The 27,812-nt window shown below is 43.6% G+C and overlaps 1 long non-coding RNA gene and 1 pseudogene across 1 annotated transcript; one reads left to right on the top strand and one right to left on the bottom strand.

The window, feature by feature from the left end:
• The first annotated feature begins 9 nt into the window (after nucleotides 1-9).
• On the top strand, nucleotides 10-27,415 carry LOC105371209 (uncharacterized). The gene is made up of 2 exons (XR_922028.2): nucleotides 10-50; nucleotides 27,224-27,415. It is a non-coding gene; the product is annotated as an uncharacterized LOC105371209 (long non-coding RNA).
• RPL22P5 (ribosomal protein L22 pseudogene 5) lies at nucleotides 22,560-23,026 on the bottom strand (annotated as a pseudogene).
• Nucleotides 27,416-27,812: the final 397 nt, after the last annotated feature.

A 27,812-nucleotide genomic window follows, 5' to 3' on the forward strand; every position in this document is an offset into this window, starting at 1 on the left:
ACTTTACAGATAAGAAAACTGAGTCTCAGAGAAATTATGGCTTGTCCTGGGTAAGTAACAAAGCCTGTGTAATATTCTAAAGCAAAAGAATGAAACGGTAATGATGAAACTTTCTATTTCATTAGGCTTAGAGGATACCTTTTTTTTTTTTCATTTGAGATGGAGTCTCACTCTGTCACCCAGGCTGGAGTGCAGTGGTAGGATCTCTGCTCACTGCAGCCTCCGCCTCCTGTGTTCAAGCAATTCTCCTGTCTCAGCCTCCTGAGCAGCTGGGACTATAGGCGCAAGCCACCACCCCCAGCTAATTTATTTATTTATTTGTATTTTTAGTAGAGACAGGTTTTCACCATATTGGTCAGGCTGGTCTCGAACTCCTGACCTCAGGTGATCCACCCTCCTCGGCCTCCCAAAGTGCTTGGGTTACAGGCATGAGCCCCACACACCCAGCCAACACAGTTTAAAGCACAAAAGCGTTTTCCCATCATGCAATCACATCATCTAGTATTTCTCAAACATCTACACCCAACTATTCCCATTAGAAGGGAAAACTACCCCATGGAATCTGGATGATAGCCCAAAGCAGCCCACCCAAGCATCACTTTTCTTTGCAATATACTTTCTCTATGATGTATGCAGTCTTGACCATAATGTAGGATGTGTTCATTTAAATAAGAAAATGGCATTCAATCAGACTTTAATGGCTATAGGTATCATTTCTCAGAATAAAACAATCAGATGTATAGTTGCCTTAAAAGTCATCTTTAATAACAGAATTCAGATCAATTGTTAGTTCAATTTCACCTAGTCCCCACATTGGACACTAGAGTGACATTTCTGTGAAAGGTCTCAATCCACCACTATATCAGAAGCAGCTTTATGGTGCAAAAGAAGCTCTGCTTTTCTTCAGTTGTAACAAAGACGGAATATTCCTCCTAAAATTTTTGAAGTGTCCTTCAGCAGAAATTATAAGGCTGTGCAGCTTGAATACTGAGAACAGAAATTTCATTAGGTAGCACGGGGGAATAGACAAGAGAAGATTAAAATTTACCTAACAAGAAATAAGCAGGCAAAAGAAAATATTAATAAATGAATTATTAGGCACATAATGTTTTGTATGTACATGTGTTTACTTTTAATACAAAAGTAACGGACTAAGTTAACATAGATGTTCCAATAAGATAATTTATGTTTCATTTTTTGGCTTCAAGTATCCTCAGGGTTATAAGTATCATAAGCTGAGACCGGCTGAATTGGTTTGTGGGTTGATGAAGCCCTATGCCTGATTTGAATTTCTCTTGAATGGTCTGCAGCCCTGGACCAAGTTGAAGAAGCCATGAGAGTCTCAGCTTTTTTCCTTACCCCATTATGAGATAAACTCATTCCTTAAATATCTTGCTCATTTGATAAAACTTGGCACCCTTCTCCTTTCTACTGGTCCCTGATACTTACTACCTGTACTGTAAGCTCAAATTTTTTACAATTTCTGCCTTTATTATGTAACGTATTCCACTGGAATATGTGTTACAGGAAAGGGGTCCCGATCCAGACCCCTAGAGAGGGTTCTTGGATATCCGGCAAGAAGGAATTCAGGGCCAGTCCATAAAGTGAAAACAAGTTTACTAGGAAAGTAGAGGAATAAAAGAATGACTACTCCATAGAGAGAACAGCCCTGAGGGCTGCTGGTTGCCCATTTTTATGGTTATTTCTTGATTATATGTTAAACAGGGGTGGGGGAGGTGGACCACGCCTATAATCCCAGCTACTCCAGAGGCTGAGACAAGATCATTTGAACCCGGGAGGCAGAGGTTGCAGTGAGCTGACATCGCTCCACTGCACTCCAGCCTGGACCACAGAGGGAGAATCCGTCCCCCGCACCCCACCCCCCCAAAAAAAATCACTGCCAGTAAGGAACAAACAGCCAAGACGAAGAAGTACTAAGATGTAAAGAGATGTAAAATAGGCCGGGCGCGGTGGCTCACGCCTGTAATCCCAGCTCTTTGGGAGGCCTAGGCCGGGAGATCACGAGGTCAGAAGATAGAGACGATCCTGGCTAACACGGTGAAACCCCGTCTCCACTGAAAATATTTTTTTAAAAAAAATTAGCCGGGCGTGGTGGCGGGCGCCTGTAGTCCCAGCTACTCGGGAGGCTGAGGCAGGAGAATGGCATTAACCTGGGAGGCGGAGCTTCAAGTGAGCCCAGGTCGCGCCACTGCACTCCAGCCTGGGTGACAGTACGAGACTCTGCCTCAAAAAGAAAGAAAGATGTAAAATACTGTGATACATTCTGCAAGAGTTATGACAGAGTCAGAAAGGGGCAAGCGTGTTTCTTCTCTACCCTGAAGCAGCCAAGGGAGAAGAAGGTATCTGTTGCCAACGCTGGGGTGTTACAAGTGCACACTGTCATGCCCGGCTAATTTTTTGGATTTTAGTAGAGACAAGGTTTCACTGTGTTGCCCAGGCTGGTCTCGAACTCCTGAGCTCAGGCAATCCACCCGCCTAGGCCTCGCAAAGTGCTAGGATTACAGGCGTGAGCCACCACGCCCGGCCTATATATGCATATTTTTTTCTAACACTTACATACTTTTTCTTGGTGCCAAGAATGTTTTAAACACTTTACATGTATTAACTCATTTTATCCTCACAAAACCCTGTCAAGTAGGTAGTATAAGTATGTCCATTTACAGATTGGGAGATGGAGGAATCACAGAGAGGTTAAGAAACTTTCTCATAGTCACACAGTCGGTGCCAAACCAGATTTCAACTCCAGAGTCTTCCTTTAGTCACTATACTACACTACTAATATCAAATAAGTAAGATGTTGATGCAACATTGATAGTAATTTAAAAGATTAGAAACAACCAAGAGCCGGGGTGTAGTGGCCCATGCTTGTAATTCCAGCATCTGGGAGCCCGAGGCGGGCAAGTTTGTTGGGAGTTGGAGACCAGCCTGACAACATGGCAAAACCCTGTCTCTACAAAAAATATAAAAATTAGCTGGGCGTGGTGGTGCGCGCCTGTAGTCTGAGCTACTTGGGAGGCTGAGGTGGGAGGATCGCATGAGCCTGGGAGATTGAGGCTGCAGTCTGCAGTGAGTTATGATCACACCACTGCACTCCAGCCTGGGCAACAGAGACCCTGTCTTAAAAACAAAACAAAACCACCTCCGACAACGTAGGAATGCTGAAATGAGTTATGTTAATTCTAAGTAAAAACTCAACCTATCCCAATTAGCCCAAGACCACTACTTAGTCTACCTAAGCCAAGTCTGTTGACTTGTTACAATGAGGGAGAACACACAACAGAGAAACTGGTGGCAGGGTGGTGGGAGGAGGGTGCTCACCAAACAAGAGGAAAATTAGAGTTATCATTGATTTTGGGGGACGAGTGGAGTGTAGTTTTCATAGGCTCAAAGCAAAGCAGGGCTGTGTGAAAGGGTAGGCATAGGATGGGACTTTGAAGTGGATCCAGGGTCTTGTTTCCTCAGAAACTACAAAGTTGAGATAGAGGTGGAATGCTGTGTTCAGAAACCCCTTACTTGAAGTTTTTGCACCTGGGTTGAAAATTACTGCTGGTTTTTTGTGTCAAGGTGGCTTAGGTCCTCCAGACAGGAGGGGGATACTGCATTGTTACTGATTGATAGGATTTCAAGCAGCCAAAGTTCTGATAGTCTGTGATTTTGAGTACAAGTTCCTCAGTGAATAAGAAAGGAGTGGTCACTCAAAGAGGGGAGTTATGAGCCTTTATAGCTGTAGCATGCCCTTGGGAAAAGAATGTTTTCTGTCATTTCTAGTCTAGCTTTATCTCTGTTAGTGCAGCCTAATGAATGGCAGAACAGGTTTTGATTTTCTCAGTCCTAGCGAATTTCTGCTTCTCGAAGTGCATGTTAGTGGTAATGTGTTTTATATCTTACTTTATTTCTTATTTTCCCCCCCTTTAATCTATATTTTATTTTATTTATTTTTTATTTTTTTGAGACGGACTCTCGCTCTGTCCCCAGGGTGGAGTGCAGTGGTGTGATCTCAGCTCACTGCAACCTCTGTCTCCCGGGTTCAAGCGATTCTCCTGCCTCATTTTCCTGCCTCAGCCTCCTGAGTAGCTGGGACTATAGGCGCGCGCCACTACGCCTGGCTAATTTTTGTATTTTTAGTAGAGACGAGGTTTCACCATGTTGGCCAGGCTGGTCTTGATCTCCTGACCTCGTAATCTGCCGGCCTCGGCCTTCCCAAGTGCTGGGATTACAGGCATGAGACACCGCGCCTGGCCTAATCTATATTTTAAAAATTGAACTCTTCCATGTACCCCTGAACCTAAAATAAAAGTTAAAAACGAACAAACATACAAAACAACAACAACGACAAAAAAAAAAAAAAAAAACAAAAAACCAGGCCGGGCATCGTGGCTCACGCTTGTAATCCCAGCACTTTGGAAGGCCGAGGCGCGCAGATCACGAGGTCAGGAGTTCGAGACCAGCTTGACTAACATGGTGAAACCCTGTCTCTACTAAAACTACAAAAATTAGCCGGGCGTGGTGGCACGTGCCTGTAATCCCAGCTACCCAGGAGGCTGAGGCAGGAGAATCCCTTGAACCAGGGAGGCGGAGGTTGCAGTGAGCCGAGATCATCCCACTGCACTCCAGCCTGGGAGACAGAGCGAGACTCTGTCTCAAAAAAAAAAAAAAAAAAAAAAAAAAAGAGAGAATTCTGTACTTTGTAATTAGAGGGGTAATTCATTAATTCATGTCAGGGGCATATTATTTTATTTTTCCAAATGCTAGGAAGCAGGTATCCATTTTTGATAATATAAATTTTGGGATAATTGGCAGTCATCTGGCTCACAGGGAAAACAGGAAAAACAAGAAACCTAAATAAACTTCATATTGATTTCCCAAAAAAATTACCTTTTATTTTCAACCCTTATAGAACCCAACCTGCATCTCTTTGCCATCCATGTTCTTTTTTTTTAGAGACTGGGTCTCATTCTGTCCCCTAGGCTGGAGTGCAGTGGCATGATCATAGCTCACTGCAGCCTCAATCTCCCAGGCTCAAGTGATCCTCCCACTTCAGCCTCCCAAGCAATTGGGACCACAGGCGCATGCCACTGTGCCTGGCTAATATTTTATTTTTTTGTAGAGATGAGGTCAATCTGCATTAAACTTCATGTTGCTCCAACACCACATTTTATCTCCCCACTTTCCCAGCAATGGACAACTAGGCTTGTGCCAATTCTCCATCACCACCAGAAATGCTGCAATGAACATTGTTGTATATATTCCCTTTTGGACCTATATAAGAATTTCTTTTGGATAAAAACTCAGGAACAGAACTGCTGAGAAGCCAGAAACCAGCAGTTCTGTTCAGAGTTTTTATTTATATCTAATTGAACTAAGGAGTGTCAGCCTCCCCTCCAGAATGCTTGTCCCGGACTTCCAATACCAAGGTAGCTGGACTCTGAGCCCACATCCAGGCCCAATCCTCGGGTCATCCAACTTTCTAAGTTTTGCCAGACTGCCTGGTGTAAAGTGGTATCTCAGCATTGCTTTCGTTTTCATTGTTCTGGGTATTCATGAGTTCAAGCATCTCTACCTGAGCTTGATAGTTTTCGGATTTCTTCTCCTGTGTATTGCCTGTTCATATCCTTTGCTCCAACATTGTTTATAGAGCACTCCCTCCCTACTTTGGCATTTGGGGTCCCCTAAACCGGCCCCCATTGCTAAAGCTTACTTCTCATGACTGACCTTTGCCTATGCTGCATGTGGTCCAGGAACAATTCTTCTGTCTTTGTTTTTGCTGTCCCCTCTTGCCTGGATTACATCATCTTCTCCAAACCCCCAATCTAAACATGTCCCGAATCCTAAATATTCTTTAGAACCAAGCTCAGATATCACCTCCTCCTGGAAGGGTTCCTTTATTTGCTCAGCTGGCCTTGGCCTTTCCCTCTTGGCTCCCACAAAGCTCAACCTGCATGTATTATTTATTTATTTATTTATTTATTTATTATTTTTTTGAGACGAAGTCTTGCTCTTGTCCCCGAGGCTGGAGTGCAATGGCACGATCTTGGCTCACTGCAAAGTCCGCCTCCCGGGTTCAAGTGATTCTCCTGCCTCAGCCTCCCGAGTAGCTGGGATTACAGGTGCCTGCCACCATGCCAGACTACTTTTTGTATTTTTAGTAGAGACGGGGTTTCACCATGTTGGCCAGACTGGTCTCAAACTCCTGACCTCAGGGGATCCGCCCCCCTTGGCCTCCCGAAGTGCTGGGATTACAGGCGTGAGCGACCGCACCAGGCCTCAACCTACATTTCAAGTCACCATCTGTCACAGGATACCTTCCACTCTGGCTCTGGATATGGGGGTCACCTCCTCACAAAGACAGACAGGTTGTATGTGCATACACAGAAAGATTCAGAAGAAATATGAAGACTTTTAAAATCAGTCGGATGATTTTAACTTTCTTCTTTGTAGTTTTCTCTAGCCAGTTTTAAAAACTGTAAATTGTAGGCCGGGCGCGGTCACTCACACCTGTAATCCCAGCACTTTGGGAGGCGGAGGCGGGTGGATTACCTGAGGTCAGGAGTTCAAGACCAGCCTGGCCAATATGATGAAACCCTGTCTCTACCAAAAAATACAAAAATTGGCCAGGGGTGGTGCCGCATGCCTGTAGTCCCAGATACTCAGGAGGCTGATGCAGGAGAATCCCTTGAACCCAGAAGGCAGAGCTTGCAGTGAGCTGAGATTGCGCCACTGCACTCCAGCCTGGGCGATAGAGCGAGACTCCATCTCAAAAAAAAAAAAAAAAAAAAAAAAAAATCCAGAAAAACAAAAACAAAAAAACCTCCCAAAAAACCACAACTATAAGTTGTAATCCATAGTGCAATTAATTTACTTGGTAGAGATCATCTTTTCCTTTCATTTTGCCCTTTTGTAAGAATCATAAAACGGGAAAATATCACCAATAGTAATTATCATTTTGTGAAACTTGTTGCAATTTTTATTTTCCTGTGAATGTGACTGGGAGGCAATGTAAATGTATTTCTTTTTTCTTGTTTTTGAGACGGAGTCTCACTCTGTCGCCCAGGCTGGAGTGCAGTGGCAGATCTTGGCTCACTGCAAGCTCCACCTCCCGGGTTCACGCCATTCTCCTGCCTCAGCCTCCCGAGTAGCTGGGACTACAGGCGCCCGCCACCCATGCCTGGCTACTTTTTTTATTTTTATTTTTTGTATTTTTAGTAGAGACGGGTTTTCACCGTGTTAACCAGGATGGTCTCGATCTCCTGACCTCGTGATCTGCCCGCCTCGGCCTCCCAAAATGCTGGGATTATAGGCATGAGCCCCAGCGCCCGGCCAATGTAAATGTATTTCTTACTGTAGACTTGAGGTCAGGAGAGTGGGCTGTACTGTACACATATTGATATTATTTGTATCTATTCCATGTATCACTTTCTCCTAAAGCATCAAATCTAATACAAAAAAAGAAAAGCAAAACACAAAACCTAGGCTCAAATTCCACCTTGGCCATGTTTTAGCCGAGTAACTCACGTTCCCCGGTGTCTAATCTTTACCAGAAACTTCCTTATCTTTAAAATAGGGAAAAAGCCTTTTCTTCTTTCCAGGGTTGTTGTGGACTCAAACGAGAGGCTGTTAGTGAAAGGTTTTTGTGAGTTATAAAGCTCCTAGGAACCCAATTATTTCTGCTGCCTTGGCCACATAGTCTAGAAGAATCTCTACATAATTAGCATCTAGAGACTGGATAATTTACCCATTATTTTCCATGTGCTTGTCTTATTTCCCAGCATGATGGTAATATTTCCAAGGGAAAGATCTAGGATATATATCAAGTAACGTTTATCATAAAAATAATGAAATTGCTAATAACTATTAATTTATTGTCATGTTGAGACTCTGCTCTAAGTACTTTGTATGGACTGTATAGCAATTTATCCCTGCACGAATCCTATGAGGTATGTGTATTTATTGTTACTGTTTTACAGATATTGAAACTAAGACACTGAGCCTCTATTTTAGCCTCATGTCTTCTTTCCTTCCAGCTTTTCCCAGGCAAGTAAATGCAGGCCACAGTCTGCCAGCTGCCCAACCATTCAGGCTTTTCATTATTATAGGAAGCATCTGGCCAAGGACCACCAACATCTTCCTGTCCTGCCCCTGAAGCTGTGAGTTCCCCAAGTGGAGACACAGCCTGTTCCCCAACACCTACACTCATGAACACGGGAGGGTTGGTCAAAATTGCACCGCTATCATGCTTAGTTTTATACTCAGGTGTAAGTGACTGATAGAAGGGCCTTTTGGAGGTGGAGAGTGCGCAGGTTCTGAAGAGGCAAGACTGGGGAAGTCTGGACCTGCTTCCAGAGTGTCCTCCCACAAGGCTTAGTGCTCAGGACCTGTAGTGGGTTGAATATGTTCCCTAAAGTTCGTGTCTATCCAGCATCTCAAAATGTGAACGCATTTGGAAACTGGGGCTTTGAAGACGTAAGTAGTTAAGGATCTTGAGATGAAATCATGCTGGATATAGGATGGGCCTTAAATTCAATGACTGGTATCTTTATAAGAGAAAGGAGAGGGAAATTCGGACACACAGAGATGAGTAAGAAGCCATGTGAAGATGGAGGGAGAGATTGGAATGAGGCTGCCACAAGCCAAGGAACATCAGAAGCCACCAGAAGCTGAAAGAAGCAAGGAAGGATTCTCCCTGAGAGCCTTTAGAGGGAGCATGGTACTTTATTTCAGACTTCTGGTCTCCAGAACTGTGGAAGAATACAGTTCTGTTGTTTTAAGCTACCAAGTTTGTGGTCATTTGCTATGGCAGCCCTAGGAAACTAACACAGGTTGAGTATCCCTTATCTGAAATGCTTGGGACTGGGACTGTTTCGGGTTTCAGATTTTGGAATATTTGCATATATATAATGAGATATATTGGGGATGGGACCCAAGACTAAACACAAAATCCATCTATGTTTCATAAATACCTTATACACACTTACACTGTGCCCCATTTTCTCCAACAACTTGACTTTCTGTACTATAGATAAACATAAATGTTTTCTCTCCCTTTTTTTTTTTTTTTTTTCTTTTGAGACAGAGTCTTGCTCTGTCGCCCAGGCTGGAGTGCAATGGCACAATCTCGGGTCACTGCAACCTCCTGGATTCAAGTGAGTCTTCTGCCTCAGCCTCCCGAGTAGCTGGGACTACAGGCATGTGCCACCACGCCTGGCTAATTTTTGTATTTTTAGTAGAGACGGGGTTTCACCATGTTGGTTAGGCTGGTCTTGAACTCCTGACCTCAAGTGATCCAGCCGCCTCGGCCTCCCAAATTGCCGGGATTTCAGGCATGAGCCACCGCGCCTGGCCTTGCTTTTTCTCTTTTAAAATCACTGTTACTCATGGGGTATCTGCAGGCCTTTTTGATATTTTCTTTTTTTTTTTTTTTTTTGAGACGGAGTCTCGCTCTGTCACCCAGGCTGGAGTGCAGTGGCGCAATCTCGGCTCACTGCAAGCTCCGCCTCCCGGGTTCACGCCATTCTCCTGCCTCAGCCTCCCAAGTAGCTGGGACTACAGGCGCCCGCCACTACGCCCGGCTAATTTTTTGTATTTTTAGTAGAGACGGGGTTTCACCGTTTTAGCCGGGATGGTCTCGATCTCCTGACCTCGTGATCCGCCCGCCTCGGCCTCCCAAAGTGCTGGGATTACAGGCGTGAGCCACCGCGCCCGGCCAACCTTTTTGATATTTTCAACAATATCTTTATACCACAGAGCAGAGAATAAGCAAAAAAACCCCACAGTGAGTAAGGCACGTAGGTCTTGGCTCCTACATGGGGCATTATGGGGAACGTGCTGTTGACGACACTGGCCTGCACACATGCCATTTTATGACCCTTTGTGGGTGTGTGCACGTTGGGGAAACCGGGCATGTGCAGAAAAGATATATCTCAGCGGAAAGGGGCTGGGAGGGCCTTTTATTTCCTTGGGGGAAATACTGTGCATTGTATGACCCGTTGTGTGAGGTCAGGTGTGGAATTTTCCACCGAGGCACCACATTAGTGCTCAAAATTGTTCAGATTTTGGAGCCTAGGGTTTCGGATCTTCAGATTAGGGGTGCTCAACCTGTACAACATCCTTGCAACAATCTAGGTGTGAGCTTTCCTCAAGAGCAAGAAGAGCTTGCCACTTCTGCTATATGACCACGGTGAAGCCAGCCTGTCACCCTCCTGCCCTGGATGACCCCAGGGAGCTCTACAGAGGTCCATGGCTGGGGGAGGCCAGCAATTGTCTAGGAGAGCTCAGTGCCACTTGCAAAGACGACAGATCTCTCTACAAATTCTGGGCTGAGCAGGTGAAGGAGGCTGGTCAGGCCCATGAAGGAGCCTAGTCAGCCGTAAGGAAAGGTTCACTGTGGGGCCCCCGACTTCCCATTCCTGATCTCCTTTGTACCTCTGCTGCCCACTTCCTTTCCTCTTTCCCTCCAAGTATACCTTATACTCTGCTCCTGATGACACTCAGATCTCCCCCCGCCCCCCCGCCCCTGTCAAATAAAAAGAGCCTAGTGACTTTTGTAAGAACGGTGTATTCATTTCCTAGTGTTGCATTAATAAGTTACCATAAACTTAGTGGTTTAAAACAACACAAATTTGCCGGGTGTGGTGGCTCATGCCTGTAATCCCAGCACTTTGGGAGGCCAAGGCGGGTGGATCACCTGAGGTCAGGAGTTCGAGACCAGCCTGACCAACATGGTGAAAACCCGTCTCTACTAAAAACACAAAAATTAGTCGGGTGTGGTGACGCGTGCCTGTAATCCCAGCTACTCAGGAAGCTAAGGCGGGAGAATTGCTTGAACCTGGGAGGCAGAGGATGCAGTGAGCCGACATCACGCCATTGCACTCCAGACTGGGCAACAAGAGCGAAACTCTGTCTCAAAAAAAAAAAAAAACATGAAACCAAACAAAACGAAAAAAACCACACAAATTTATTCTCTTATCATTCTGGAGGTCAGAAGCCCAACATAAGTTTTAAGGGGCTAAAACAAATGTCTGAAGGACTGGTTTGTTCTGGAGGCTCCAGGTATATAATCCACTTTTTGACTCTTCCAGCTTCTAGAAACTGGCATTTTTTAGCACCTGGACAGATCACTCTAATGTCTGCTTCTGTCATCACACCCCCTTCTCCCTGATTGACCCTCTCGTCTCTCTAAGGATTCATGTGATTATATTAAGGGCTCATCTCAATAATCCAGGATAAGTTCTTTATCTCAAGGTCCTTAATTTGTTCACATTTGCAAAGTCCCTTTGCCATATAAGGTAACATATTCACAGAGTCCAAGGATTGGGATGTGGATATCTCTGTGGGGCTATTATTCAGTCTACCACAAATGTGCATTCCTTTCTAAAGTATTTATCTTCGAGCACTGAGGGGAACTCTGCCTTCAGCTAAGGCTACACAACTATCCTGATGGTGGACTGTAGCAACTTGTAGGCAAGGGGTACAGCTCAGGGCAGCTACCTCTCCCTCTTCTCGGGCCAACCTGGAGGAAGTTCCTTCCAGAGTCCAGGCTATACTTGCTTCTGGCCTGCAAATTCCTGAGAATTCTTTGAAACCTAGGAGGGGCCTGGGTATTATGCCCTTTTGAGTGAGAATTCAGAGGCCAGTGGAATTAGGGCAATCAGGCATTTCCTGATCATCTGCTATGCTCCAGGATGCTGACTTGGAGAGATGAACAAGGCAAAATGCTCATTCTGACGGCACTCAGAATTTCACGGGGAACTGGAAGGATAAATGAATCTGGGAGGAACTGCTAAAACAGGTAGGAGAGGGTAAGCTTGTTAGAACCTGAGCAGAATGCTGTCTGAAAAGGTAGAGAAGTCAGGAGAAGCAGTGAGGCCCTCAACCCTGTGTGTCACAATGCCTCCTGTCATTTCCTCTCTGAGTTTCCAGTACAAGCTTCTCGGTGGCTGTTTTCTGCCCAAGCACATGAACTTTGGAAGACCTAGCACTTTGGACAAAGTCCCTGGCCCTGACACTTAATAGTTTGGGGAACTTGGGCAAAATACTCAAAGCTTCCTAGTCTGTAAAGTGAGAATGACAAAACATCTGCCTTCCTTGCAGGATTGTTGTGGTGATGTGTAAGACATAAAATATCAAGCATAGTCAGCAGTCACTGAGCTTAAGGAATGTTAAGTTATAATCATTATTTCTGAACTTCAGTGCCCAATATGACCCTGTTGACACCTCCTTTGCCTCCTTGGGACATACTCTCTTCTGGTGGTCCTCATCCCTTTCCAGCTATCCTCTGTCTCTTGGTATTCTCCTAATCTACCAACTCCCATCAATGTTCCTGCTTGCCCAGGGTGCCTGTCTCAGTCCTCTTCTTTTCTCCCTAACCCCTGGGAAGATCTCATCAAATTCCCTGCCTCTCGTTTTCCTTATCGATTTGCTGAGGGCTTACTCACAAGTTTCTCCAGCTGAGACCCTTTACTGATGAGAGTAATAACAACTGGTGGAAGTGTTCTCCTAGGTAGAGAACAGGAATCTCAATTTTTAATGTTGGGAGGGACTTTATGCATCTTTTTGCTTTCAAAAGCAATTTCTGCCTGGGCGTGGTGGCTGATGCCTGTAATCCCAGCACTTTGGGAGGCCGAGGTGGGTGAATAACTTGAAGTCAGGAGTTCGAGACCAGCCCAGCCAACATGGTGAAACCCCGTCTCTACTAAAAATACAAAAAATTAGCTGGGTGTGGTGGCAGGTGCCTATGATCCCAGCTACTTGGGAGGCTGAGGCAGGAGAATTGCTTGAACCTGAGAGGCGGAGGTTGCAGTGAGCAGAGATCTCGCCACTGCACTCCAGCCTGGGCAACTGAGAGAGACTCTCTCAAAAAAACAAAAACAAAAATAAAAGCAATTTCTTCTCTCTGCATTCTCCATGTTACTGAAACCTAACATCAACCCCATAGCTCCTCAGGCCAGAAGCTCCTTTATTGCATGCATTCTCCAAATGCCTAAATCACCAATTTTTTTTTCTTTCTTTCTTTTTTTTTTTTTGATACGGAGTCTTGCTCTGTTGCCTAGGCTGGAGTGCAGTGGTGCGATCTCAGCTCACTGCAAGCACCGCCTCCCGGGTTCACGCCATTCTCCTGCCTCAGCCTCCTGAGTAGCTGGGACTAGAGGCGCCCGCCACCATGCCCGGCTAATTTTTTTTTTTTTTTTTTTTTTTTTAGTAGAGACGGGGTTTCGCCATGTTAGCCAGGATGGTCTCGATCTCCTGACCTCATGATCCGCCTGCCTTGTCCTCCCAAAGTGCTGGGATTACAGGTGTGAGCCACCGTGCCCAGCCTTTTTTTTTTTTTTTTTTTTTTTCGAGACGGAGTCTCCCTCTATTGCCCAGGCTGGAGTGCTGGAGTGCAATGGCGCAATCTCAGCTCACTGCAACCTCCGCCTCCCGGGTTCAAGCAATTCTTCTGCCTCAGCCTCCCAAGTAGCTGGGACTACAGGCGTGTGCCACCACACCCAGCTAATTTTTTTGTATTTTTAGTAGAGACAGGGTTTCACCATGTTGGCCAGGCTTGTCTCTAATTTCTGACCTCATGATGCGCCCACCTTGGCCTCCCAAAGTGCTAGAATTACAGGCGTGAGCCTCTGCGCCCAGCCTGTTTCTTAAAATTAATATGTCTTATTGCATATGTGAGGTCAAGGTGTCATACTGTCTCATCATTTCCACCTCCTCTTTCACAATTCCCATTCTCCATTTTATTAAAAATGAATGAATGAATAAATGATTATCACATGTTTAAGGCTTCCTGAATTTAATTATGGGGCATTCCATTGGGGTGTAATTACCTGCAGCATAATATTGTAGAACAACTCAATATATGGAAGCCTCCTTTAGTCAAGAAATTGTAATCCTACACTAAGGCTACATGTTTTTGTCTTTATATTTTTGATAAGGGTGCAGCATAATATAGAAACAAGGTATTTGGGGACATCCTGAATTCATGTACATTGAGGAGTGAAGTGGCAGGAGTTATGGCAAATTTTGTTGAAGGGTCTTGCCTTTTGCATTGCCTAATTATGATCAAATAATGCATTGCTACTATAGGAGAGTTCTGAGAGGGCAAAGTAGAGAGGCTCAGTACAAAATACAGAACTTATCAGAGCTCATTCCATCCTGGAGACAAACTTATGACAAGACTCTGTGCCTTATCCACCTCCCTGCCTCCTTTCCTTCCTGTCTTTTTATCCATCTTAGAATTAAGATATTTAAATTTTGTCTGAAGCATGTCAGAGAATAACAACATGCTATAAAATTTCACTTGTGTTCACCCATGTGTCAGCTGAGTATTTTGCATTGTTACATTTTTATTTTACTGTATTTTATTTTATTTTTTTTTGAAATGGGGTCTAGCTATGTTGCAAACTCCTGGCCTCAAACTCCTGGGCGCAAGCAATCCTCCTGCCTTAGCCTCCCAAAATGCTAGGATTACAGGTGTGAGCCACTATGCCCTGCCTATTTTGCATTACTTCAAAGAGAAGGTGAGGTCACACATTTACTTCCAACAGATCAACATTATATCTTCAAGTTAGCAAAAGCAATTGAAAGTAGGTAGTGGCATTCTATATTTCCATAAATGCTCCTTTAGACTTGTAAAAAAATTGTCATTAATTTTGGCCAAAAGCTTATTGATGTCATAAAACCATACTCAGTTTTTACTTGGACACATTCTCCTGCTGTTCCTCATCAACCACTTTGTGGGTTTAGTCATTCAAAGTATGTACTTACTAGATTTAGATTAATTCAATGGAGATATGTTGTGAATTCAACTGAAAATAATGCACTTAAATAATAATTACTGTATCTTTTGTAATCAGCACACTTACCAGAGCTTCAACACCTGCCTTTCCTTTTGCTATTTATTTCCACAAGATAGATTAAACTACATTTTTAACAGTAGAACATTTACTTATGTAGAACAAAATGTTCCTAAGCTGTAAACTACTGTGTAATGACCTGAACACTCTAGAAAGCCAGCTTCATTACATTTGTTTTGGGAGTGCGCACATAAAATGTTGAAGGACCACTGTATTAAAAGGCTATTAGCATAATCTCTAGGAGACACAACCAGAAAACCAAGCATAGAGGCTGAGCAGCCAGAACCAATACTGCTACCGCTGTCCCTGCCACTCAACACAGGCCGAATAGTGGGCAGGGATGCTATGCCAAGCCCCTGCCTTGATTCTCTCTGGAAACTGGATGTATCTTTGCTGCCTCTCTGCTGTCACCTGAATGGATTCCCTCAGGACCCCGTCTTCATGACTTCAGTCTTCCACACTGAAATCACATGCAGGAGCACTGATTGGTGGAGTCTGTGCCACAATTTTTCCTCACTTCAAGGGAATCTGGGAAAATTTGGCCTCTATTTTCAAAAGGCAGACTCACTAGATGGGAGAGTCCCAAATATAAAGAGTATTCAAAGCAACTAGAGAGCTTAGAAAAAAAAAAAGAATGACAAATGCTATCACACAAAGTATATAATAACATATGATTTTAAAAACAAATATTTTCTTTAATTCATTACATGATCGAGGATTGCATTTATGATGTTCATTTTACTCTAATGCTTTACTATAACACTGAGCCAGTTTTATGTTTCTCCCTATTCAAAAAATGATGCATGCTCCTCAAATTTACTTTAAATTAATTGCATGAAAAAGGATGATTAATCAATAAATAAGTCTTGAAAAGACATATTCTATAGTGTTCGGTTTGGGGTTTTCAGATTAAAATACACATTGAAATTTACTACATGATATAACAAGAAAAAAACTACTTTCAAGGCCTGATATTTGATTCTTCTATCTTGTATTTGAGAAACCAATGTATTTTACAGATTTTTACAAAACAAAGTAGACGGCCGGGCGCGGTGGCTCACGCCTGTAATCCCAGCACTTTGGGAGGCCGAGGCGGGTGGATCATGAGGTCAGGAGATCGAGACCATCCTGGCTAACAAGGTGAAACCCCGTCTCTACTAAAAATACAAAAAATTAGCCGGGCGCGGTGGCGGGCGCCTGTAGTCCCAGCTACTGGGGAGGCTGAGGCAGGAGAATGGCGTGAACCCGGGAAGCGGAGCTTGCAGTGAGCCGAGATTGCGCCACTGCAGTCCGCAGTCCGGCCTGGGCGACAGAGCGAGACTCCGTCTCAAAAAAAAAAAAAAAAAAAAAAAAACAAAGTAGACATTAATTCCACTTTTAAGGATGTAAAGCCCCCAGGGTAACATGGTAAACCTGTCACGGATCATGACCCACTGGATAGGAAACACTGTTTTACTATTCTCTGGGAGGTATGTGAATCTCAACTTCCTGTTGCTTCCTGAATCTACTTGTGACACAGTCACAACTGGAGTGGCAGTAGCTAATCCCGGACTGTCCCTGCTGCTTGAGATCATCTAATCAGTCACTCCTCCACCTCATCTTTGTCTGTTTGATGTTGAAATTGTATTACATGCTTGAACTGATCAACAATTAGATGGCTAGAGACCATTTTGACTGGCTGCCTCCCAGTCCTGCAATAAAACACAACAAAACTGTAAAACTAACCCAACCCAAGAAACCAGAGAACTAACCCAACCCAAGAAACCAGAGGACTCCCTGCGCAAGAAATCCACACTGGCCCTAGAGTGTCCCACGCAGGTTTGAACAGCAACCCTGGACCTGTGCCACAAACTCAAGTGCAAGGGGACTCCGGTGGACCCTGTAATGGCCTATCTGATTTGGCTTCTCATTTACAGAGAATGGAGACTTTACACACCACAATGTATTGTTTGCTTAAAGGTGCTTAGAAAGAACAACCTGAAACCTTTTAATCTTATTTGTTCATGTAGAAATGAAACCGTTGAGACCTTATCTTAATGCATATAGTATTCCAGTTGTAATCAGCAACCTTTTAGTTAAAGGAAAGTAACAGCCGGTTGAGATTGTTACTTTTCCTTTTACCAACCCATAAAATGGAGACAAGGGACTAGATTAAATACTAAAACAGGGAACTAATCTTTCAGCAGCCCTATAGGAGTTAGAAGCAAAGGCTCCTGGGCCGGGCATGATGGCTAATGCTTATAATCCCAGCACTTTGGGAGGCTAAGACGGGTGGATCATTTGAGGTCAGGAGTTCAAGACCAGCCTGGCCAACATGATGAAACCCCATCTCTATTGAAAATACAAAAAATTAGCCAGGCATGGTGGTGCAGGCCTGTAATTCCAACTACTCGGGAGGCTGAGGCAGGAGAATCGCTTGAGCCTGGGAGGCGGAGGTTGCGGTGAGTCGATATCTCGCCATTGTACTCTAGTCTGGGTGTCAGAGTGAGACCCTCTTTTTTTTTTGAGAAAAAAAATAAAAGAAGAAGCGGAGGCTCCTGCTGTTGAATAGACACCCTTTGAGGCAATGAATGACACATGTTAGCAAGGAGCCCATCTTATCTACGACTCATCCTCAAAAGGTCCCCAACCTGAAGCAGCCAGTGCCTGTGGTGGTGTAGATGGTGTCTGGAAAGGCTGAGAGGACCTCACTTCTTTCACTCACCAAATTGAGTACCTGTAATCCCAGCACCTTGGGGTGCCAAGACAGGAGGATCCCTTAAGGCCAAGAGTTCGAGACCAGCCTGGGCAACAAAGTGAGACCTTGTCTCTATAAAAAATCAGAAAATTAGCCGGGTGTGGTGGCAGGTGCCTGTGGTCCCAGCTACACAGGAGGCTGAGGCAGGAGAATCACTTGAGCCTAGAGGTCGAGGTTGCAGTGAGCCATGATTGCACCACTGCCCTCCAGCCTGGGTAACATAGCAAGACCCTGTCTTAAAAAAAAAAAAAAAAAAAGATTCGAAGATCTTTGAACATTATAGAGAACATTACAATGGAATGTTATAGTATTAGTATTGTTGATATTTTAAAACCCAGGAGCTGTTAGCTCCTCCTCTCTGGCCTCTTAATCATAAATCCCTGTCCCTTCTCTATTGGGTTACAAGTCAACTGAGGCACCAGCATGTAAGCCTCATCTATACTTACTCAACTAATTCAGACAGGTCTAGGCCTGTAGGGGGTGGCGTGGGGTGCAGTCTGGGTGCAGGGGAGAGATGGACCCACCAGGGAGAGCTAATTATATCACAAGTAGAGGAACCTGTGGGAAGAGTATAGTGTTGGACATGTGGGTGCTGCTTTATAACCTCTTCATTTCTCAAATTCCTCAAGGAGAACCTACATTAAGGGGTGACCAACCAGCTGAACAATTCCCTTTGCTGTCAATCTATGACGAGGGGTAAAACATGACTAGTGCACTAAAATATCACTGGAAATAGAACTTCAAAGATGAAAATTTTTTTAAATCAGAAATCTCACAGAGAGTACTCAATAGGGTTGGAGTAAATACCTTGATGAGCCACTTGGGGATGGGGGTGGAAGGTAAGACCCCAAGGGGTATGCCTGGATGACAACAGATGGTCCTTCTAAAAAGGATAGTCAAGTGAACTATGAGGCTGTTGTTTTGGAGAGAGGTTGTAAGTTTGGGGCCAGAGTTAAAGCCCCTTGGATTTTGGAGGCTTTGCAGCTGATGGTCCTCCTCTTTATCCTTTTTCTACAGGGCACTGAGGAACTATTTAAAGAAAATACAACCCAAGTATCTGCAGGTCTCATTCTGGTCCAGCCCCAAAGCAGTGTTAGCTGCAGGGGAAGGCCTTACCCTGAGGAGAGGGAGATAGGATGTACCAGCTGATGTGGGGGAGTGAGGACACAGGATTAGAGGGGAGTGGATACTGTGAATTGCACCTAGAAACAACAGCGCTAAGGCAGGCTTCTTCCCCTTGAACTATGCTTCCATTAGGGGAAGAATGCATAAAATGAGTAAAATAAAAGCTGCAGACCAGGCATGGTGGCTCATGCCTATAATCCCTGCACTTTGGGAGGCCATATTGTACGGATTGCTTGAGCCCAGGAGTTGAAGACCAGCCCTGGCAATGTAGCAAGATCCTGTGTCTACAAATAATAATTTAAAAAAATTAGCCTGGCATAGTGACACATGCCTATGGTCCCAGTTACTCAAGAGGTTAAGGCAGGAGGATTGCCTAAGCCCAGGAGGTTAAAGCTGCAGTGAGCCATGATCATGCCACTATACTCCAGCCTAGGGGACAGAGTGAGACCCTGTCTCAATTAAAAAAAAAAAAAAGGTATATTCCCTGGGCCAGGTTTTCTCTCTCTGTTTATCTGGCTAACTCAAATTTAACCTTTAGGGTTGAGATTAGATCTTACTTCTCCCAGGAAGCCTTTTCTGATCTCCTAAGTCTGCATTAGATGTCATTCCTCTGTGCTCCGACAGATCCTGTATTTCCCCCATCATCACAGCATTTACAGTGTGCATTGTCATTGCTTGGTTACAAGGCAATTTCCTTTGCTAGTCTATAACTTCCATGGGGTAGGGACCATGTCTGTAGTTCACTGTCGTTTGGTGCCAAACATAGTACCTGATACCTGGTAGGCACTCAATTATTTGTTGTTTGAATGAAATAATAGAGGCACAAGAATAGTGCTGCCATGTACCTAGAAGAGGTGGAAAATTTTCATGGTGGAGGGTGGCTCCCTGAGGCCAGGCCTTGGTATAGAGGCTGATGGACAGAACAGTAGCTCGTGGATTTCGGGGGCAGTGATGGCTTCAGACAGCCTGATACGTTAGGAGGAGAGAGGATACCAAAACAGCACCTTCGAAGTCAGGAGCTACGTGGAAACAGAATGGAAGACATCAGCTAAAAGACACCCTAGGGACTTCTGCCTCTCCTCACCCTCTAGCAATATAAGTGCGGAAGGAGAAAGTCCCCAAATACAGTGATGCACCACTTAAAAATGCATTCTGAGAAGTGCATTGATAGGTGATTTTGTCATTGTGTGAACCTTATAGTATGTGCTTACACAAATGTAGATGGTGGAGCCTACTACACACCTAGCCTGTATGGCGTTGCTTATTGCTCCCAGGTGGCAAACACGTATAGCATGTTACTGTACTGAATACTGTAGGCAATTGTAATACAATGGTCAGTATTTGTGTATCCAAACATATCTAAACATAGAAAAGGTACAGTAAAAATATGGTATATGTGATATTTTGGTATACATATTGGCTTTCGTCCGCAGCTCCTGACTCATAACTCCCATAGCCCTTGTTATATAATGTTGGGGTGCTTCAGGCCTCAGAAAACAGAATGTCTGTCTCTCTGGCCTTCCGACCACCTCCTGCCCTCCTTTTTCTCCCCAAGGCAGGACTCTTCTCTCACCTCTCTTGGAGCTGACCATAAAGAAATTCTCTTACCTACCCTATCTGACTGTAGGTCATAAGAACCCCCAATTCAGAAGGAGTCCTGCCCCACACCCAGGAAGAACAAATGCTGCACAGAGATGCCAAGAAGAATCTGAACAGACAGGCCTTGCTGGGTTTCTCCACTCAGTCTATTAGTATTAGACCATACCCTTCTTGCCCATTTCTGCATGATTGTCAATCATGACTACCCAATGAAGTCTCCACAAAGGCACAAGAGGACTGGGTACAGAGTATTTCCAGGTAGCTGAGCACATGGAGGTTTCTGGAGAGTGGCACACCCAAGCAGGGCATGGAAGCTCCGAGCCCCTTCCCCATACCTCGCCCTGTGTGTCTCTGCATCTGCATGCTTTGTGGTATTCTTTATAATATATCATTTTTTGTGTATTATAAAGAATATATAAATGTGTTTCCCTGAGTGCTGTGAACAGCACTGGCAAATTAATCGAGTCAAAAGAGGAGGATGTAGGAATCTCAACTTAAAGCCAGTTGGTCAGAAGTTCCAGAGGTCCAGACTTCTGACAGGTATGTGAAGTAGGGGCAGTCTTGGGGACTGTATGATCTGACACTATCTCCAGGTAGAGAGCATCAGAATGAATTGAACTGGAGGACACCAAGCTAGCGTGTCTGTAGAATCGACTGCTTGCTTGGTGGTGGCAAGAAACCGCCATACATTTGGTCTCAGGAGTCTTTTGTGGTTGTGATGTGAGAGGAGAGTAACAACAGTTTTTGTTTTTTCCACTAAGTATAAAAGATAAAAACGTATACTCCTGTATAGGGCACTTACCATAAATAGAGTTTGCAGGACTCAACGCTGTTCTGGGTGAGTCAGTGAGTGAGTGGTGAGTGAATGTGAAGGGCTAGGACATTACTATACACTACTGTGGACTTTATAAACACTCTATACTTAGGCTACACTAAATTTAACACATTTTTTTTCTTTAATAAGAAATTAATCTCAGCTTACTGTAAATTTTTTACTTTATAAACTTTATAATTTTTTAAACTTTTTGACTCTTTTGTAATAACACTTAGCTTAAACACAAACACATTGTACAGCTGTACAAAAATATTTTCTCTGTTTATATCTTTATTCTATAAGCTTTATTCTATTATCTTAAATTTTTAATTTTTTCTTTTTTTTTTTGTTAAAAACTAGGACACAAAGACACACATTAGCTTAGGCCTACACAGGGTCAGGATCATCAATATCACTGTCTTCCACCTCCACATCTTGTCCCACTCGGAGGTCTTTAGGGACAATACCATGCATAGAGCTGTCATCTCCTATGATTACAATGCCTTCTTCTGGAATACTTCCTGAAGGACCTCCCAGAGGCTGTTTAACAGTTACCTTTTTTTTTTTCAATAAGTAGGAGTACACTCTAAAACAACAAAATATATAGTAAATACATAAACCAGTAACATGGTCATTTATTATCATTCTCAAGTATTATGTACTGTATATAACTGTATGTGCTAGACTCTTATATGACTGGCAGCAAGTGGATCTGTTTATACTGGGCATCACCATAAACACATAAGTAATGCATTGTGCTAGGACTTTATGACAGCTACATGGTTATTAGGCTACAGGAATTTTTCAGCTCCGTGATAATCTTCTGGGACCCCGTCATATATGTGGTCCATTTGGCTGAAATGTCACTATGCAGTGCTTGACTATAATCCTGCTTGCAGCATTTTGTACCCCAACCATACCCTCAGGATGATATGCCTGGAGAAATGCCAGTTACACCTGGCCGTAACACCCACAGTCTTGGTTCATGTTCTCATCATCACAGTTGCATTAGATGCCTTAATGATCACCCTCCTCTATTTGGGCCATGGAGCCCTTTGAGAATCCAACAATAACTCTGAACCTCTCCACAGAAGAATCACATGGTCACACAAGCACAAAATTTTACATATAACAGACAACCCTTAAAAGCTAATCTACAGACCCTAGCTCTCATCTTAATCTTTTCTAAATTTTTCTCCATAGTGCTGCCAGGGTGAACTTGAAAAATAAATTTTATTGCATTGTTGGATTTTTATTACCTTCAGGGAAGACTTCAAGCTCCCTAGTAAAGTACATGAGACACCTCCCACATACTGCTCACGTTCCTTACCTACCTTTTTTACTCCACCACTGCTGCAGCAATGAGCTGGTGTGACCCATTTCTTTGGAGAAATGTCTGCTCAGATCCTTTGCCCATTCTTTTTGGTTCCCAAGTTTTATTCAAGAATTCATTCAAAATATTCCAGATAAATAAAATTTAATCCTCATCTTTCTCTTCTTCTTTGTCCTGGTTAATTTGGAAATAACGTAATTCATAACTCTCTTTACTGTTAGCAACTATGCACAACCAATCACATAGATTATTGTTCTTCAAATATTTTTTGGTGAGATATTTCAAATACCTTCTGGAAAAAGGCACTTCCGGTGTTACGGTGAGCTTGCTCTTGCTCCTTTCGATGGTCACCACTCCTCCAAGATTCACAGCTTTTCTGTTCACTTTGATCCTCTCTTGCAAAAACTGCTCAAAATTGGTAGAATGGCGGCATCCATGATTCCATCTTCTATGGGGTGGATGCAATCAAGAGTGAACTTCAGAACCTGCTTCTTTTTTGCCCCCTTTCACCACAAGCTTTTTCGCGGGCGCCATGGTGGCAATGGAGGCAGAAAAGCCCTTTGCCCATTTTTAAAATTGGGTTATTTGTTCTTCTGCTATTGAGTTGTAAGAGTTCCTTATATTTTTTGGATATTAATTCCTTATCAGATATGTGGTTTGCAATTATATTTTCCTAGTCCGTAGGTTGCTTTTCAAGTTTGTTGATTGTTTCCTCTCCTGTGCAGAATTTTTTAGTTTGATGTAGTCCCTTTATTTATTTTTGTTTTTGTAGCCTGAGCTTCTGATGTGATATTAAGAAAAAGAAAAATCAGGCCGGGCGCAGTGGCTCACACCTGTAATCTCAGCACTTTGGGAGGTCAAGGCGGGTGGATCATTTGAGGTCAATAGTTCGAGACCAGCCTGGCCAACATGGTGAAACCCCATCTCTACTAAAAATACAAAAATTAGCCAGGCGTGGTGGCACGTGCCTGTAGTCCCAGCTACTCGGGAGGCTGAGGCAGGAGAATTGCTTGAACCCGGGAGGCAGAAGTTGCAGTGAACCAAGATTGCGCCACTGCACTCCAGCCTGGGTGACAGAACGAGAGATTCCGTTTCAAAAAACAATCATTGTCAAGGCAAATGTCGAGAGGTTTTTCCCCTGTGTTCTCTTCTAGGAGTTTTATGGTTTCAGGTCCACAGTACACTGTTAGTGGGAATGTAGATTGGTACAGTCATTATAGGAAACAGTATGGAGGTTCCTAAAGAAATTAAAAATGGAACTACCATATGATGCAGCAATCCCTCTCCTGAGTATATTCCCAAAGGAGAGGAAATCATCACCTTGTAAACATGTCTGCACTCCCCTGTTCATTGTTATGTTATTCACAATAGCCAAGATAAGGAAACAAACTAAGTGCCCATTGACATTTAGGATGGATAAAGAAAATGGGTTTTGTGGTGTACATACAAGGTATTTTCAAAAAGTTCATGGAAAGTCTGTATTATATAAAAAAAAAAAAAAAACTATGTGGCCGGGCGCGGTGGCTCAGGCCTGTAATCTCAGCACTTTGGGAGGTCGAGGCGGGCGGATCATGAGGTCAGGAGATCGAGACTATCCTGGCTAACACGGTGAAACAATGTCTCTACTAAAAAATACAAAAAAAAATTAGCCGGGCGTGATGGCGAGTGCCTGTAGTCCCAGCTACTCCGGAGGCTGAGGCAGGAGAATGGCGTGAACCCGGGAGGCGGAGCTTGCAGTGAGCCGAGTTCGCTCCACTGCACTCCAGCCTGGGCGACAGAGCAAGACTCCGTCTCAAAAAAAAAAAAACAAAAACAAAAAAACAAACAAACAAAGAAAACACTGTGTATGGATTTCAAAATTGTTCACAACAAAATAAACTAGTACTAACTTGTTTATAACATGTCTGGTCAGGATCTAGTTAGAGACACTAAGGACAACACATCAGTTTGAAAAGAGTCCCCTGTCGGAGCAACATGAATTCTGCTAAAATTGAAGCAAGAACAAGCATCAAATGTATGGTGAAGCTTGTGTGAAAGAATGATCAAATCACTGATTCTTTACAAAAAGTTTATGGAAACAATCCCCAAAGAAATCAGCAGTTTACAAATGGATAACTTGTTTTAAAAACAGATGAGGCAATGTTGAAGATGAAGCCCATAGTGGCAGACCATCCACATCAATTTTCAAGGGAAAAATTAATCTTGTTCATGCCCTAATTGAAGAGAATTGATGACTAACAGCAAAAACAATAGCCAACACCAGAGACATCTCAACTGGTTCCACTTACGTAAATCTGACTGAAAAATTCAAGTTGAATAAACTTTCCACGCAATGGGTGCCAAAACCGTTGCACCCAGATCAGCTGCAGGCAAGAGCAGAGCTTTCAATCCAAATTTTAAAGAAGTGACATCAAGCTCCTAAAGCAAAACAATTGTAATGGGAGATGAAACATGGCTTTACAGGTACGATCTTGAAGACAAAGCCCAAAGCAATGGCCACCAAGAGGTGGAAATGGTCGAGTCAAAGCAAAAGTGGATTGGTCAAAAGAAAAGGTCATGACAACAGTTTTGTGGGATGCTCAAGGCATTTTGCTTGTTGGCATTCTGAAGGGCCAAAGAACAGTAACATCTGCATATTATGAGAGTGTTTTGAGAAAGTTAGCCAAAGCTTTAGCAGAAAATTCCCTGGGAAAGCTTCACCATAGAGTCCTTCTCCACCATGGCAATGTCCCTGCTCATTTCTCTCATCAAACAACGATAATCTTTTTAGAGTTTCATTGGGAAATCATTAGGCATCCACCTTACAGTCCTGATTTGGCTTCTTCTGACATTTTTTGGTTTCCTATTCTTAAAAAAACCCTATAAGGTACACCCATTTTTCTTCAGTTAGTAATGTAAAAACGACTGCATTGATGTGGTTAAATTCCCAAGACCCTCAGTTCTTCAGAGATGGACTAAATGGCTGGTATCATTGCTTTCAAAAGCATCTTGAACTTGATGGAGATTATGTTGAGAAATAGTTTATATTTTCAATTTTTATCTTTTAATTCCATTTTTCCGTGAACCTTTTGTAGCTCCCCCCATACAATGGAATATTATGCAGTCTTAAAAAAAGAAAAGGAGACCCTGTCATTTGCCACAACATGGGTGGACTTGGAGGACATTAGGCTAAGTGGAATAATCCAGATACAGAGAGAAAAACATTGCATGACCTCACTTATACATGGCATTTTAAAAAGGGCTCAAATACACAGAGAGAATGAAACAGTGGTTACCATGATTGGGTGGTGGGGAGAGGAAATGAGACACTGTAAGTCAAAGGATACGAAATATGAAAAGTCTCCACATCTAAGGTCCAACATGAAGACTAAAGTTAAAAAAAACTGTATCATATTGGGAATTTGTGTTAAATAAGTAGATTTTAGCTGCCCTTGTCACAAAAAAGTAACTATTTGAGATGATAGAAACATTAATCTGCTTCATAACTGTAACCATATTACTATTTATATGTATCCCATAACATTGTGCTGTAAACCTCAAGTATACACAATTTAAAAAATTTTTTGGCTGAGCACAGTGGCTCACGCCTGTAATCCCAGAACTTTGGGAGGCCGAGGTGGGTGGATCACCTGAGGTCAGGAGTTCGAGACCAACCTGATCAACATGGCGAAACCCCGTCTCTACTAAAAATACAAAAATTAGCCAGGCATAGTGGCACACGCCTGTAATCCCAGCTATTCAGAGGCTGAGGCAGGGGAATCGTTTGAACCCTGGAGTTGGAGGTTGCAGTGAGCTGAGATTGCGCCATTGCACCCCAGCCTGGGCAACAAGAGTGAAACTACATCTCAAAAAAAACAAAAGATTTTTTTTTTTAATGACCTCTCCCCAATTTTCATTACCTGACCTTCCTCTAGGATCTCATGGTCCTGGGCTCCCCTCTTCATAGCACTTACTGCTGAGCTGTAAATATCCATTTATGTGTTGCCTCCCTCACTGGACTGTAAAATTCTTGAGGCAGAACCAGTAGGTTTTATCTATTTATCCTTCTCAAGCCTAGGACAGTGCCTGAGACCTTGAAACTCGGTGATTGTTGGTTGACAGGTTGAATGAGTGATCTATGAGATTTCTGAATCAAGCCTGGTGCATTTAATCTTTGGGTCTTGATAACATCTGGATCTGAATGAATCTGGGGGAAAGTCTAATTGAGCTTGATTTCCCTGTGACCTGCAGAGGCAGGAGTCCCAGCTTGACTGGTAGAGTGGGTGGGGAAGGCCTCTTCTACAGCACAGCCATAAAAAATCTGGAATTGTGACACTTTCCCCTAATGGGCCTCCTGGGACTTTACATGTCCTGTTGTGGGGAGTTGATTTTAACACAGAATCTGTCAATGCTCTATCCTTTTCAGGTCCAGCTTCATAAAAATATTCAAGGAATCATGTCTTCTGATTTTGCTTGATGATCCCTCTTGGGAGCCATATTTGAAAGGTTACAGTTTGCATTTTTGACATTAAAGTTTACTTTTTAATTTTAAAAAAAGTTACAAAGATGTAGGACGTTTGGCTTCTTCAATACTTATTTGCTAGAAGACTTTGGGCAAGTTACCTAAACTCTCTGGGCTTCAATGTCCTCCCATACATGTAAGCTAAATGTTCCAGGGCCACCTATGCCCATGGGTAACAGGCCAGCACAAGAATATGCTGACCAATTGATTCCTGGCTGCATAACCACAGAATCTCCTCTGTTATTTCTAGGTGCCTAGAGGAGGTCTCTCATAGATGCCCACGTTCTCTTGACAAGATATTTGGGGAGGACCCCTGGCTACTGTCACTGCTGCCATGCCTGCCAGGAGGAGGCACCTTCCTGACACTTCACTGCTGCTGCTCAGCAGGCCTGCCAAGTGGTTCTGCTGTGTTCTAGGAGAAACAGGAAAAATGCCTCTCCTCCCACTTTGCACTGTGCTTTGTCACCTGGGCCCTAAAACACCATTGCCTGCCCCTGACGCCCCAACAGCTCCCTCTACCAAACTGAGGCTGGGCTGGGAGACTAGGCACTACACCATTCCATTCTCCCTTCTCTTCTTCCATTCTCCCTTCCCTCCCTCTCTTCTTCCCACTGCCTCCAAGACACCTGTACTGGAACTTTGTCCATTCTTACACTCACACACACACACATGCACATGCATATGTGTACACACAAAAGTCTCTTGTCCATCAGATCATACAAATATATGCTTGGGACAGGGGTGATCACATGCCCCACATGCCCAGTGGACATTTAGGCTCAGATAGGACAATTCTTTCACAAGGATGACAAAACCTACCTTCCGTGGTTGCTGTGAGA

Source organism: Homo sapiens, chromosome 1, assembly GCF_000001405.40.
Source record: "Homo sapiens chromosome 1, GRCh38.p14 Primary Assembly".
In the NCBI taxonomy this organism is placed as follows: domain Eukaryota; kingdom Metazoa; phylum Chordata; class Mammalia; order Primates; family Hominidae; genus Homo; species Homo sapiens.